Source organism: Homo sapiens, chromosome 15, assembly GCF_000001405.40.
Source record: "Homo sapiens chromosome 15, GRCh38.p14 Primary Assembly".
Classification (NCBI taxonomy): Eukaryota; Metazoa; Chordata; class Mammalia; order Primates; family Hominidae; genus Homo; species Homo sapiens.
This window is the reverse complement of record NC_000015.10, coordinates 60938386-60954270: the sequence shown is the minus strand read 5'-3', so window position 1 is coordinate 60954270 and position 15885 is coordinate 60938386. Positions and strand designations below refer to the sequence as shown.

The 15885-nt window shown below is 43.9% G+C and overlaps 1 protein-coding gene across 2 annotated transcripts in view, besides 2 other annotated features; it reads left to right on the top strand.

Annotated features, from left to right (window-relative positions):
- Positions 1–15885, top strand: part of RORA (RAR related orphan receptor A) — a 741019-nt gene that overhangs the window by 275032 nt on the left and 450102 nt on the right. The window lies entirely within an intron of this gene.
- Positions 6546–7303: an enhancer, noted in NCBI's record as "NANOG-H3K27ac hESC enhancer chr15:61239167-61239924 (GRCh37/hg19 assembly coordinates)". NCBI's record gives its function as "activates a minimal SCP1, AML or CMV promoter by ChIP-STARR-seq in naive H9 embryonic stem cells {active_cell/tissue: H9 hESC(naive)}" and the evidence as "EXISTENCE:reporter gene assay evidence [ECO:0000049][PMID:30033119]".
- Positions 8767–9061: a silencer, noted in NCBI's record as "tiled region #7352; K562 Repressive non-DNase unmatched - State 22:ReprW". NCBI's record gives its function as "represses a minimal TATA promoter and a strong SV40 promoter by Sharpr-MPRA in K562 cells {active_cell/tissue: K562}" and the evidence as "EXISTENCE:reporter gene assay evidence [ECO:0000049][PMID:27701403]".

Sequence of the window (15885 nt, the reverse complement as noted above, 5' to 3'; positions counted from 1 at the left end):
ATTCCCCTTCCTGTGTCCATGTGATCTCATTGTTCAATTCCCACCTATGAGTGAGAATATGCGGTGTTTGGTTTTTTGTTCTTGCGATAGTTTACTGAGAATGATGATTTCCAATTTCATCCATGTCCCTACAAAGGACATGAACTCATCATTTTTTATGGCTGCATAGTATTCCATGGTGTATATGTGCCACATTTTCTTAATCCAGTCTATCATTGTTGTACATTTGGGTTGGTTCCAAGTCTTTGCTATTGTGAATAATGCCGCAATAAACAGACGTGTGCATGTGTCTTTATAGCAGCATGATTTATAGTCCTCTGGGTATATACCCAGTAATGGGATGGCTGGGTCAAATGGTATTTCTAGTTCTAGATCCCTGAGGAATCGCCACACTGACTTCCACAATGGTTGAACTAGTTTACAGTCCCACCAACAGTGTAAAAGTGTTCCCATTTCTCCACATCCTCTCCAGCACCTGTTGTTTCCTGACTTTTTAATGATCGCCATTCTAACTGGTGTGAGATGGTATCTCATAGTGGTTTTGATTTGCTTTTCTCTGATGGCCAGTGATGATGAGCATTTTTTCATGTGTTTTTTGGCTGCATAAATGTCTTCTTTTGAGAAGTGTCTGTTCATGTCCTTTGCCCACTTTTTGATGGGGTTGTTTGTTTTTTTCTTGTAAATTTGTTTGAGTTCATTGTAGATTCTGGATATTAGCCCTTTGTCAGATGAGTAGGTTGCAAAAATTTTCTCCCATTCTGTAGGTTGCCTGTTCACTCTGATGGTAGTTTCTTTTGCTGTGCAGAAGCTCTTTAGTTTAATTAGATCCCATTTGTCAATTTTGTCTTTTGTTGCCATTGCTTTTGGTGTTTTGGACATGAAGTCCTTGCTCATGCCTATGTCCTGAATGGTAATGCCTAGGTTTTCTTCTAGGGTTTTTATGGTTTTAGGTCTAACGTTTAAGTCTTTAATCCATCTTGAATTGATTTTTGTATAAGGTGTAAGGAAGGGATACAGTTTCAGCTTTCTACATATGGCTAGCCAGTTTTCCCAGCACCATTTATTAAATAGGGAATCCTTTCCCCATTGCTTGTTTTTCTCAGGTTTGTCAAAGATCAGATAGTTGTAGATATGCGGCGTTATTTCTGAGGGCTCCGTTCTGTTCCATTGATCTATATCTCTGTTTTGGTACCAGTACCATGCTGTTTTGGTTACTGTAGCCTTGGAGTATAGTTTGAAGTCAGGTAGTGTGATGCCTCCAGCTTTGTTCTTTTGGCTTAGGACTGACTTGGCGATGTGGGCTCTTTTTTGGTTCCATATGAACTTTAAAGTATTTTTTCCAATTCTGTGAAGAAAGTCATTGGTAGCTTGATGGGGATGGCATTGAATCTGTAAATTACCTTGGGCAGTATGGCCATTTTCACGATATTGATTCTTCCTACCCATGAGCATGGAATGTTCTTCCATTTGTTTGTCTCCTCTTTTATTTCCTTGAGCAGTGGTTTGTAGTTCTCCTTGAAGAGGTCCTTCACATCCCTTGTAAGTTGGATTCCTAGGTATTTTATCCTCTTTGTAGCAATTATGAATGGGAGTTCACTCATGATTTGGCTCTCTGTTTGTCTGTTATTGGTGTATAGGAATGCTTCTGATTTTTGTACAGTGATTTTGTATCCTGAGACTTTGCTGAAGTTGCTTATCAGCTTAAGCAGATTTTGGGCTGAGACAATGGGGTTTTCTAGATATACAATCATGTCATCTGCAAACAGGGACAATTTGACTTCCTCTTTTCCTAATTGAATACCCTTTATTTCCTTCTCCTGCCTAATTGCCCTGGCCAGAGCTTCCAACACTATGTTGAATAGGAGTGGTGAGAGAGGGCATCCCTGTCTTGTGCCAGTTTTCAAAGGGAATGCTTTCAGTTTTTGCCCATTCAGTATGATATTGGCTGTGGGTTTGTCATAGATAGCTCTTATTATTTTGAAATACGTCCCATCAATACCTAATTTATTGAGAGTTTTTAGCCTGAAGCGTTGTTGAATTTTGTCAAAGGCTTTTTCTGCATCTATTGAGATAATCATGTGGTTTTTGTCTTTGGCTCTGTTTATATGCTGGATTACATTTATTGATTTGCGTATATTGAACCAACCTTGCATCCCAGGGATGAAGCCCACTTGATCATGGTGGATAAGCTTTTTGATGTGCTGCTGGATTCGTTTTGCCAGTATTTTATTGAGGATTTTTGCATCAATGTTCATCAAGGATATTGGTCTAAAATTCTCTTTTTTGGTTGTGTCTCTGCCTGGCTTTGGTATCAGAATGATGCTGGCCTCATAAAATGAGTTAGGGAGGATTCCCTCTTTTTCTATTGATTGGAATAGTTTCAGAAGGAATGGTACCAGTTCCTCCTTGTACCTCTGATAGAATTCGGCTGTGAATCCATCTGGTCCTGGACTCTTTTTGGTTGGTAAATTATTGACTATTGCCACAATTTCAGCTCCTGTTATTGGTCTATTCAGAGATTCAACTTCTTCCTGGTTTAGTCTTTGGGGAGTTTATGTGTCGAGGAATTTATCCATTTCTTCTAGATTTTCTAGTTTATTTGCGTAGAGGTGTTTGTAGTATTCTCTGATGGTAGTTTGTATTTGTGTGGGATCGGTGGTGATATCCCCTTTATCATTTTTTATTGTGTCTATTTGATTCTTCTCTCTTTTTTTCTTTATTAGTCTTGCTAGCGGTCTATCAATTTTGTTGATCCTTTCAAAAAACCAGCTCCTGGATTCCTTAATTTTTTGAAGGGTTTTTTGTGTCTCTGTTTCCTTCAGTTCTGCTCTGATTTTAGTTATTTCTTGCCTTCTGCTAGCTTTTGAATGTGTTTGCTCTTGCTTTTCTAGTTCTTTTAATTGTGATGTTAGGGTGTCAATTTTGGATCTTTCCTGCTTTCTCTTGTGGGCATTTAGTGCTATAAATTTCCCTCTACACACTGCTTTGAATGTGTCCCAGAGATTCTGGTATGTTGTGTCTTTGTTCTCGTTGGTTTCAAAGAACATCTTTATTTCTGCCTTCGTTTCGTTATGTATCCACTAGTCATTCAGGAGCAGGTTGTTCAGTTTCCATGTAGTTGAGCAGTTTTGAGTGAGATTCTTAATCCCGAGTTCTAGTTTGATTGCACTGTGGTCTGAGAGATAGTTTGTTATAATCTCTGTTCTTTTACATTTGCTGAGGAGAGCTTTACTTCCAAGTGTGTGGTCAATTTTGGAATAGGTGTGGTGTGGTGCTGAAAAAAATGTATATTCTGTTGATTTGGGGTGGAGAGTTCTGTAGATGTCTATTACGTCCGCTTGGTGCAGAGCTGAGTTCAATTCCTGGGTATCCTTGTTGACTTTCTGTCTCGTTGATCTGTCTAATGTTGACAGTGGGGTGTTAAAGTCTCCCATTATTAATGTGTGGGAGTCTAAGTCTCTTTGTAGGTCACTCAGGACTTGCTTTATGAATCTGGGTGCTCCTGTATTGGGTGCATATATATTTAGGATAGTTAGCTCTTCTTGTTGAATTGATCCCTTTACCATTATGTAATGGCCTTCTTTGTCTCTTTTGATCTTTGTTGGTTTAAAGTCTGTTTTATCAGAGACTAGGATTGCAACCCCTGCCTTTTTTTGTTTTCCATTTGCTTGGTAGATCTTCCTCCATCCTTTTATTTTGAGCCTATGTGTGTCTCTGCACATGAGGTGGGTTTCCTGAATACGGCACACTGATGGGTCTTGACTCTTTATCCAATTTGCCAGTCTGTGTCTTTTAATTGGAACATTTAGTCCATTTACATTTAAAGTTAATATTGTTATGTGTGAATTTGATCCTGTCATTATGATGTTAGCTGGTTATTTTGCTCGTTAGTTGATGCAGTTTCTTCCTAGTCTCGATGGTCTTTACATTTTGGCATGATTTTGCAGCGGCTGGTACCGGTTGTTCCTTTCCATGTTTAGCGCTTCCTTCAGGAGCTCTTTTAGGGCAGGCCTGGTGGTGACAAAATCTCTCAGCATTTGCTTGTCTGTAAAGTGTTTTATTTCTCCTTCACTTATGAAGCTTAGTTTGGCTGGATATGAAATTCTGGGTTGTAAATTCTTGTCTTTAAGAATGTTGAATATTGGCCCCTACTCTCTTCTGGCTTGTAGGGTTTCTGCCGAGAGATCCGCTGTTAGTCTGATGGGCTTCCCTTTGAGGGTAACCCGACCTTTCTCTCTGGCTGCCCTTAACATTTTTTCCTTCATTTCAACTTTGGTGAATCTGACAATTATGTGTCTTGGAGTGGGAAGTTCTTCTTTGAGTATGTCCAGTGACTCTTTAAGATTCAGTTTCTAGCCTACCGAGCTGGAAATGACTGTGAAAGTTTCAATAGTCTTAGATCCTTCTCATCTCTTTTACAAAACCAGCGTTGGTGACACATAACAGATGGTATGAAATGGAAGCCTTATCAGTTGATTTCACTTATAAACCAAGTGCAGATAAAGATATAAGGAGGAGCAACATGGGAAATGTAATGCTAAAGATATGTGGGAGTGTGTCAACACCATTTCTAACACCACACTATGGGATCTGTGGCAAATGCAGCAAGACACCAGTTGACAATATGAAGGTTAGGAAGCTTTCTCTCAATTCATGCTCTGTATCCTGCAGTGGAGTGTCCAGCTCAGAGTTCAGACGAGGCTACGACAATTGGAGCAGAAGTGGAGAGGGCTCTGAGTTGTACTTTGTGTCCACACACAGCAGCTGCTCTGCTGCTCGGGTCCAGGGCTGTGTGGCATTTTCACGTGTGTAGTGATACTGGGCGCTGAATGGAGTGGGGAGGGAACACGATTTGGGCAGTTTATTTTTACGTGCTGAGTTTTTTTCCACTTTAGCTCCATATTGAGAGGTTTTATCTGTGTGAAGCAGTGCTGATAAACAGCCTGATTTGAGAAGCCAAGCAAGATTTGGCCTGGCAACTTCTGATGTTTTCATCATGGATAGTAGGAGACAGTTTGGCTGGGCTGGGAATCACGTGGGGTTCAGCTGCCTCAACACGTTAGGCTGTGAGCTTCACGGGGAAGGGGCCATGTCATAGGGGGTGTGTGCTACTGGGTGTAACAAGGTGCCTGGTGCATGCTAGGTGCTTCAGAGATGTTGGGGAAGGAAAGAATGCAGGACTGGACACCACTACTGTGCTGTATCTCATCACTCCAGCACACCTTAGGAAGAAAGCTCATATTTCTTCATCTTGTCCACCGCTCAGAATATACTTCTACTCAACTCTGCCTGTTTCCTGTTTGCCTGTTCAGATCCTTATATCTCTCCTGCTCTGGAACAACTCCTTGACAATTCCAGCTTCCATTGATTCCTCTCCTGCCTGAACTATCAGTCTCTTCTGCATCCATCCTTTAGAACCAGGAGAGAATAGAAACAGGTTCTAGTTTCTAGTTCTTTAATGGGTTTGTGTCTGTTTCTTGAAAGCAGAGAATAGGACCGTATCTTATATTTGTTGTGGGGGATGGGAAGAATCTAGGGCTAGAATTGGAAGATCCAAATGTGTGACCTTGTTCTTTCCCTTAATATTTCTATTATCTTCACCAAGTCACATAACTTGTCTAAGCCTCAGTTTTTTCATCTTTAAAATAGGAGAAAATGGTACTTGTCACAGTAGGGTCATAAGTGTTAGATGAGGTTGCTCATGTAAAAAAGTCTGGCATAAATTATATATTGTTGTTTCTGTTGTTACTTATCCCTGACAGACATTTGCACTAGCTGGGAACTTCATCTATTTTTAGTTACTATTTGTTGAGTGACTGAGGAAATGAACCATGGAGAGTATTTTGCCTTCCAGAAGTGACTTCTATAACTCATTTGTAAATGTTGGCATTTTGGAGTGGAAAGAAAAAATGTATTTATTTCTTCTAAATGGATGATGCCTTGTATTTGCATCACCAGAAAAAGCAGAGACATTTTTTCATCCAATTTTATTTTTCTTCTTTAACACCTGTGATTTTTTTTTTTTCAGTCATATTTGCCTGGGAATAAAAAATAGGCTCTCCAGGTAGTTTTGTCCCCATCCATCCTCTGGAAAGAACTTTAAATGCTCCCTTTCCCAAATGTCTTTTAAGCAATCTGGGCGTCTTGGGCATGTCTCGCATGACCTGGTTGTCTTAGCCGTCTTCACTTTCTCTGTGGCTCTCAGTAACATCTTCAGAAGCTGCAGCTGCCAAAAAACAATGGCTTAGCCATGACATCCAAGGAAATCATCAAGGCATCATCCACCCCTATAGATGCCCACAGGTGGCCATAGGGGTGGTGTTGTTGTCTGTGGATAGCACTAATGCCACTTCTGATGCCCACAAATAGCTGCCCCTGAGGCCCCAAGGCCCCATGCCCTGCCTGTTAATGATGCCATTACTGCTGCAACTCTTCCCAATACCTTGTTTAGGTACCATCTCCCACTGCGGAGGCTGCAGGCAGCACAGCACCCAAGACTGCACTTTGCACTAGCCAGGTGCTACCCATGACTTCTGGAAAACGGCCCTTTTTTGTTTCATTTTTTTTTTTTTTTTTTTTTTTATTGATCATTCTTGGGTGTTTCTCGAAGAGGGGGATTTGGCAGGGTCATAGGACAATAGTGGAGGGAAGGTCAGCAGATAAACAAGTGAACAAAGATCTCTGGTTTTCCTAGGCAGAGGACCCTGGGGCCTTCCGCAGTGTTTGTGTCCCTGGGTACTTGAGATTAGGGAGTGGTGATGACTCTTAACGAGCATGCTGCCTTCAAGCATCTGTTTAACAAAGCACATCTTGCACCGCCCTTAATCCATTTAACCCTGAGTGGACACAGCACATGTTTCAGAGAGCACCGGGTTGGGGGTAAGGTCAAAGATCAACAGCATCCCAAGGCAGAAGAATTTTTCCCAGTACAGAACAAAATGGAGTCTCCTATGTCTACCTCTTTCCACACAGACACAGCAACAATCTGATTTCTCTATCTTTTCCCCACATTTCCCCCTTTTCTATTCGACAAAACCGCCATCGTCATCATGGCCCGTTCTCAATGAGCTGTTGGGTACACCTCCCAGACGGGGTGGCGGCTGGGCAGAGGGGCTCCTCACTTCCCAGAAGGGGCTGGCCGGGTGGGGGCTGACCCCCCCACCTCCCTCCCGGACAGGGCGGCTGGCCGGTCGGGGGCTGGCCCCCCACCTCCCTCCCGGACGGGGCGGCTGGCCGGGCGGGGGCTGGCCCCCCACCTCCCTCCCGGAAGGGGCGGCTGCCGGACGGAGGGGCTCCTCACTTCTCAGAGAGGGCGGCGGGGCAGAGACGCTCCTCACCTCCCAGACGGGGTCGGGGCCGGGCAGAGGCGCTCCTCACATCCCAGACGGGGCGGCGGGGCAGAGGCGCTCCCCACATCTCAGACGATGGGCGGCCAGGCAGAGACGCTCCTCACTTCCTAGACGGGATGGTGGCCGGGAAGAGGTGCTCCTCACTTCCCAGACTGGGCAGCCGGGCAGAGGGGCTCCTCACATCCCAGACGATGGGCAGCCAGGCAGAGACGCTCCTCACTTCCCAGACGGGGTGGCGGCTGGGCAGAGGCTGCAATCTGGGCACTTTGGGAAGCCAAGGCAGGCGGCTGGGAGGTGGAGGTTGTAGCTACCCGAGATCACGCCACTGCACTCCAGCCTGGGCAACATTGAGCACTGAGTGAATGAGACTCCGTCTGCAATCCCGGCAACTCGGGAGGCCGAAGCTGGCAGATCACTCCCGGTTAGGAGCTGGAGACCAGCCCGGCCAACAAAGCGAAACCCCGTCTCCACCAAAAAAATACGAAAACCAGTCAGGCGTGGCGGCGCGCGCCTGCAATCGCAGGCACTCGGCAGGCTGAGGCAGAAGAATCAGGCAGGGAGGTTGCAGTGAGCAGAGATGGCGGCAGTACAGTCCCGCTTCGGCTCGTCATCAGAGGGAGACCCTGGAAAGAGAGGGAGAGGGAGACCGTGGGGAGAAGGAGGGAGAGAGAGGGAGAGGGAGAGGGAGTCGGAGTCATTTTGGTTTTATTCATCCATGCAATTGCAGCTGCTCTCCCATGGGACATAGGACACTCAGGGTGGGGGACGCTGTGCGGAATCACCCTCAGCACACCCGCTGATCCTGGCTCATTATCTTTGATTCAGAAAGGTGCACTTGGCTTCACTCTCCCCTTGGAATGCATCTTCTTCCTGGAGGTTCCTTGGTTTCTCCTGCATATAACCCACCTGAGTGCTAGAGTGAGCCCAGCCTGAACTCAGGGTGGGGAACCTGGTACATTCCTGACTCGTCAGTCTGCCCAGCTGCTGGGAGAACTTATGAGCATCATCACCTGTGTGAAAAAGTCAGGGAATAGATTCTGCCTCATAGATTAAAAGCTAGGTTGATAGGTTAGCTTGCTTCTGGCTCTTCTGGCCAATTAAGTGATCCTGGCTTTCCCACAAACAGAAGTGACCTCTCGATTTCAGGTCTCATCATGTGCACTGGGATAGACAAGCATATGTACCATTGTGAGTTGCCTTGGGTTTGCCAAAAAAGTGCCCCTTGAGTGAACCAATTATTTTCCCTTTTCCAAAGTACAGTTTTGTCTGCAATCCTTTATTTCTAACACTACTTCTGAATGGAACATATTGTTATGCATGGCAGGGATGGGGAGCAAATGGGAGGAATTTGGAGAAAGAGCCGTTTTCCTCCCCTAATGGTGAAAAGTATTTTTTCTAACAAGCACTGTTCTCGGTAGTTGTAGCCTGGAGAGCCTTATCCTTTCCATCATCTTCTTGTCTGCAGCAGCCATGATATAACAACGTTTCCCCTGACGGGAGCTCATGCAAGCCACTGTGTCCTGGAAGAGAGCCAACCTGGTATGCTGGCCAGTTGGCACCACTTGCCTCCATGCAAGAAGCCAGCACTGTGCCTTGTCCCCAGAGATATCAGCCCTGTAATGTCCAGCTCGTGCCAACAGGAACCGTGGAATACATATTTTCCTTTAAAAAGAGAGATGAGAGTTCCTGTTCTTTCCCATGATTTGTGCAGTTTATGTGATCATGAGTTTGGATTTTCAGAGAGAGGGTGGGGAGGGAAATTATATTTTATAGGTTATCTATATGGGGTGGTCCAGCCCCATATTGCTGGATTTGCTGGGTATATTAAACTATAGCCTTCCTCCTCTCTGCTCTTAAGCCAATCAGCTCCTAGCTTTCTCTGCTCTAAAACCAAAGTGGGCTGTTTGTTTTTGTTTCAATCTTTCATTTTGCTCCTATCGGGCATCTGTTATATCTCTGAGCTGTGGACCCTATGGAAACCTTGATATGTCTGCATGCTCCACCTGGTGCTATGCCTAGGTCAGTCAGTGGGAAGTCAGACCACGTTGGGCATGCAGCATCTCAACCACAGGAGTCTGGGGTGCAGTTTTAAGTGTCACTCTTGTTGCTGACATTTTTCTATCCTTCTGCAGGGACGATTATTGGAAATGGTGTATTGCCCTCTGGGAATATGGGAAGCATCAGACAGGAATTCTGGGCCATGCTGCTTTTTTTTTTTTTTTTTTTTGGAGTACAGTGGTATGATCTCAGCTCACTGCAACCTCTGCCCCTTTTGCTCAAGCAGTCCTCTCACCTCAGCCTCCTAAGTAGCTGAGATCACAGATGCTTGCCACCACACCTGGCCATTTTTTTCTTTTTTGTATTTGTGGTAGAGATGGGGTTTCACTATGTTGCCCAAGCTGGTCTTGAACTCCTGAGCTCAGGTGATCCACTTGCCTTAGCCTCCCAAAGTGCTGGGATTACAGGCTTGAGCCACCGCATCTCGCTCCGTGCTGCTTATTGTATACGGTTTTCTGTTTTTTACCACCTGTAACTCCACCCATTAAGGCAGTTTGTGCAGAGTCCCTGGCCCTTAGTACGGTGTTCACTGTGGCCAACTGGGTCTAGACCAGTGGTTCTAGCTCTAGTTGCATGGGAGGATCTTCCTGGGGCTTTTAAATTATACTGATGCCCATGCTCCATCTCAGACCAGTTACATCAGACTTCCCAGGTGGGACCAGGGTGGCCTGGGCCTCAGGAATTTTTAAAGCTCCCCAGGTGCTTTTCATCTTCAGTGCATGTTACTGTTCTTCGGTTTATACAAATTCTTTGACAGATGGACAACTCATATGAGAGCATATGTGTGATTTTTCCTGTCATGATAATGGACGACTGACTGACTATGGCAAAAGGCCTCCATTTTATGGTTTGTTTAGTTAATAGAAGTGATATATTTATGCTCATTTATGCTCTCATCTGGTCCCCTTTGACCCATTACTCACTTTTTTTTTTTTTTTTTTTTTTTTGGAGATGGAGTCTGGCTCTGTCACCCATGTTGGAGTGCAGTGGCATGATCTCGGGTCACTGCAACCTCTGCCTCCCAGGTTCAAGCAATTCTCCTGCCTCAGCCTCCCGAGTAGCTGGGATTACAGGCACACGCTACCACGCCTGGCTAATTTTTTGTATTTTAGTAGTGATGGGGTTTCACCGTGTTGCCCAGGCTGGTCTTGAACTCCTGAGCTCAGGCAATCCCCCCACCTCAGCCTCCCAAAGTGCTGGGATTACAGGCATGAGCCACCATGCCCAGCCGACCCATTACTCACTTTTGCGAAATAGCTGGCTGAGGTTAAAGATGTCATCCTTGGAGAATAGAACTGAATGCGGGTCCACATTGGGCCAAGACCTTCTGTCTTATGCTCATTAGTACAGTCCTCTAAAACAGTGGCTGAACCTTCACATTGAAAATGTAATCCTCTCAAAACCCTGATCAAGAAATAACATCTCTTTTTAAGTATGACCTTGATACAGCAAAGAACAAGAGTGCCTCAGAAGAGTGACTACAAGAGCCAGAACAAGATTGAATAGAATCAGAATTGACGTTCCTAAGCTAACTTTAAAAGTGAAAAAAAAAAAAAATTAAGAAAGACATGTGAGAGGTTAAACCCCAAACCTGACAGTGTACTTTTAAAATGTCCTGCAGAACCTGGCAGTCTTCCTCAGCACCCTGGTTTTTGCCCCAGCATCCTAGCAAAGTCACCTTTCTTTCTAAACCACTAGTTGAAGGGCCAAGTCTCAAAATAAGAAGATGCTACTATGCATAGCTACTTGGACTTGATTTAGAACATGATGCCAGCAAAGATGGATACAGGTACCCTGACTCCAGCTTTCTTGATTTGGGTGAAGCAATTACAAAGGAGAGTTCATGCTAAAAATAGGAAGTTGTTATTCAACCATTCTATGAAGGCAGAAAAGAAAATCTAATAAATTTGACCTTCAGTGAGCTGCAATTTCAACTCTAACAGGGCTTCGTGGGCTTGATAATATTGTTAGCTTTATTTGTTCCAGAATGTGTAAGGCCAGCAAAGGCCAGCCTTGGAATTGTGTCTTATTATCTCTCCTTATGCCCAGTTGCCTGTGTCCTCCCCACCTCCATCCCAGGGTATGTCTGCATTATCACTTTTGCACATAAACCTAAAGATTAAAGACGGTGTTTGTTTTGAAGGAGGATAGGAAGATCAAGGATAAAGAGAAAACATGTTTGTATGTATATGCATATAACATTCACACAGCATTCTAACAGCCAATCTCTAAGTATCATCAGTAACAGGAAAATTCTTTTAAGTGATAATCTTATAAACTGATTACAGGTCACTGCTCACATGAATGTGTGCCTGAGGCTACATCCCTAATGTGAAGCAAAGTATAAGATACAAGAAACCTAAGCATACACCTTTTCATCCATGGGCAAATAATTGCCGAACATCTTGCTTAACACACATAATTCGCCTTATGAATAGAAACGTAAAACGGAAACCTGGTTCTGGTTTGACAATTTGACAAACCAGAATTTGACAATAAGCACTAGGGGGAAGAGCACTGATTTGGGATTTGGTCTGATAAGGGTGTATATCCCAGCTCTGCTGTTTACAGGCGAGGCAGCCTTGGCCTTGAGACATAAACTCACTAAGACTCAGTTTCCACATCTAGTTGTAAGGTCTGAAAGATCTACTGTGTGCACAGTAGCTGACCATTATGTAAGGGCTCCATAGATAGTTACGTTTATGATGAGCTGTGGCTTTTGCTGATATTTTGGTTTTCAACCAGATCTATCACATGAAAAAAAAAATTCCATGTTTTTAAAAAATTAGGGGGAATCTTCCGAAGATATTATGGATTAAGTTTTAATTCAATCCTTTAGGAAAGGTGAGTTTGCTTGAAGACTTAGCAGATTTTATGCATAGGAGATTTGCCTGCTCACTGGACTGGTGGGTAATGCAAAGATCAACAATTATCTTCCTAAAATGTCTGCTTTTAAAAACTATTTCTTGGTAACAACAGCAGTGCTAGTCACCAGTTTCCGGTTTGCACGTCTTTTCTTTTCAAGGGCAAACATTTAAAACCCTTCCTTACCTCCAGGATCTTTGAAGAGATGAAAAAGATAGATCAGTGAGGAGAGGGAGGTCTTGGGTTGCTAATGCTAACATGTGGAATGACTCATAATTGCGTAAAAAAGTGAGATCAAAAATTCCTTGTCTTGAGATCTAAAAGTTTTCTTAGAATACAAAGTGAGCACTCACCAAGGAACTAAAAATAAAGTACACTGGAGATCTTCCAAGAACACCTCTGGGTGAAAGCATCATAGAAACTGGCTGCTGTGTCCAGACAGGGAACTCAGCCCGAGGCTGTCTCATTGGGAGGGCCCACTGTTGACCATGGCACTGGTAGACTTTCCTCCAAGTATCTTAGGCCCCTTCACCCGGTTCTGTAGAACAATGACATTGGGACAAGCCAGATTTGGCCCTGGGGTCCTAATAGCTAAATGGAATCGCGAGACGCCAACACATTAAAGAGCTTGGAGTTGAGCAAAGACTGGCACAGTTGTATCATTTTGAAGCTTTAACAACCATTTCATCCAACCCTTCCACTTCAAGGACAAGGAACCTGAAGTCCAAGGAAGTGAAACCACACTCAATTTAGTGCCTTTTAGACCCAGCTTGAATTAACCAGAGGTTGAACTGCAACTGACAAGGCTTTTCCATCCCAGGGTTGGTATATGTAATAGCTTATCACCATGCCATAAAAATTATGAAGTGTTTGGTGTCTCCAAGCTTAGGTTCACAAAGTTGGCTCATTTGATTTTGTCTAATGAGTATAACTTGTTTTTCTATACAATACCACTTCTTTCTTGCAGGTCTGCTATCACATAGGAGAAAAATCATGGCCATTTGCCTTGGTCAACATTTGTTTTCCTTTTCTTCCACTGACTAAAATATTATGATTATTTATTTATTTATTTAGAGACAGAGTCTCACTCTGCTGCCAGGCTGGAGTGCGGTGGTGCGATCTTGGCTCACTGCAAGCTTTGCCTCCCGAGTTCAAACAATTCCCCTGCCTCAGCCTCCCGAGTAGCTGGGACTACAGGCACGCGCCACCATGCCCGGCTAATTTTTTTGTATTTTAGTAGAGACAGGGTTTCACCATGTTGGCCAGGATGGTCTCAATCTTCTGACCTCGTGATCCACCTGCCTCGGACTCCCAAACTGCTGGGATTACAGGCTGACTACAATATTATTTACATACAATGTAATCCAGTTATAAGCATACAGTTAGATGAATTTTGGTTATTGTTTACAACCATAACCACCATCTGAAACAATACATAGAACAGTTCCCTCACCTAAAATGTTCCCTCGGGCCTCTTGGCTCTCAATCCCGTCCCCCTGCAACCTGGCCTCTGGCTTCCACAGATCAGCTTTCTGTCTCTGTATTTTGCCTTTTCTAGAGTTTTATCTAAATACAATAATATAATACATATTCTTTTTTGTTCAACATCTTTCACCTAGCGGATGTTTTTGAGATTCATCCATGTTGTTGTATTATAATTTCTTTTTATTACTGGAATAGTATTCCATCGTATGGACGTACAGTTTGTTTATTCCTTACCAATTGATGGCCTTTGGGGTTGTTTCTGGTTTGGGGCTATTAGAAATCATCTTAGCCAACAATTTTATCTTTAATTTCTTTCAGTGATCTAATCTTGTGACCCAGCCTCTAATTTTTAGGATCTTAGAATGTTCACCATCACTATTAGAGTGAAACATTTTCAAAAAATGCTGATAGGGTTGGAGGTGTTGGCCCCTGATCCTCCCATGTGTGACTTTGGAAGTGATCTTCTACTCATCTTGAAGTAGCAATGCCAAGGCTCAAAGCTGACATGATGGCCTATTTAGTGTTCTGTAATGTAATTTACCACCAGGATAGGCCTTCGGGCACATGACAGAGTGCAACAAAATGCAGTATCCAATATTTATAGTAAATACACTGGAGTGGTTTTTTATCTTGCCTTGTAGAAATGTGCACACACACTGCTTTTCAGCCATTCTAAGTGCAAGAGGAGGGAAAAGAGGGAAGTCCAGTGAACGGCACTGTCCCGTGCATAAACATTGCAGGGGTACAGGGCTAGCACAGCCGACTTGGAACAACCCGGGAAGAGTTAGCTCTCAGACTTAACAGGAGAAACTCTCCTGAAAAATGTGCTGTCCCCCTGTTATAATTCACCATAATGAGCGGGGAACAAAAGGTTGTGAAGGGGAGTGGTGACTGATGGCCGACACGGCCGCCCTGTGCTGAGGCTGGCACGGCTCCCTCTGGCGAAAGGCATAATATATTATTGCTCCAGGTCGCATAGTGGTAAATGAACACTTAAGGCCGCTATGGCAACTGGATTGATTATCACAGGTACCTCAGGACCAGCCTGGCCCAGAGTTGCAAGTGAGCACGTGCGTCCCTGCTGTGCTCCAGTCAGAAGAACACCTCAAAGGCAATTTGTACAAAATGAAGCCTCTGATGACTGCATGCCCCTCCTCTCCAGCCCCCTTTGTCCAGTAGAGAATCTGGACAAGGCTGGCCCAGACAGTTGGACCTCTCAGACCTGAGAGGCAGGGCTACCATGCTGAAAGAATGCCTGGTTCATGGTGGGAACAAGGTCGCAGTTTGTTGTATATAATACAATGAATGGAATGAATGAATGAGTGAGTGAATGAGTGAGTGAATCCATGATTGGAATGACAAGAAGTCTCCGAGGGAGCACTAAGGCCAAAGTGGAGGTCAGGAGCTGCGATGCCGAGGGAAGAGGTCTGAGAGAGGAAGATGGCTACAGGACGTAGCAAGTTGAAATGGACCAACGAGCAATGGCCTGAGCAAATAACTTTGATCGAGCCATCACTGGTGACAGGACTTGAACACATTTCTGGAAGCATGTTGCATGAATAAGCCTGATTTGTTTAAGAAGCCGGGCATGGGCCAGTGCCTTTTTATTTAATTCACAGATATTACTCGGAGTTTACACACAAATCTCCAGTTTTTTCAGTAGCCGAAAGAAAAGAAGCAATCTGTATCCCCAGTGGCAGATCTAGGCAGATTTGTATTAATGTTCTAAATGCACCAATTATCATTTTTATTTTTCCCAGTATTAAAAAAAATTTTTTTTAGATGAGGTCTCACTGTGCTGACTAGGCTGGTGTCAGACTCCTGGCCTCAAGCAAACCTTCTTGCCTCCCTCTTATTTAAAATGTTTAAGTGAGTGTTTCCCTCCTCTAGTTTGTATGAACTGATCTAACCATGTACCTGTATCCAGGGTGTAGAGTGAGTAGCATTAATGCCACATTACCTTCTAATTTTGATTGGCAGAAGTTTTACACTTTAGAATTTAAATGTGAAGGTATTTGAATTCTTTGCACACGACCTCTAAGCTAGATCATCTACAGTGGCAACTAAACTGGCCACCACCTTCACAGGTACTATATTTGAATACAGCATGCAACCTTCCACTGCAGAA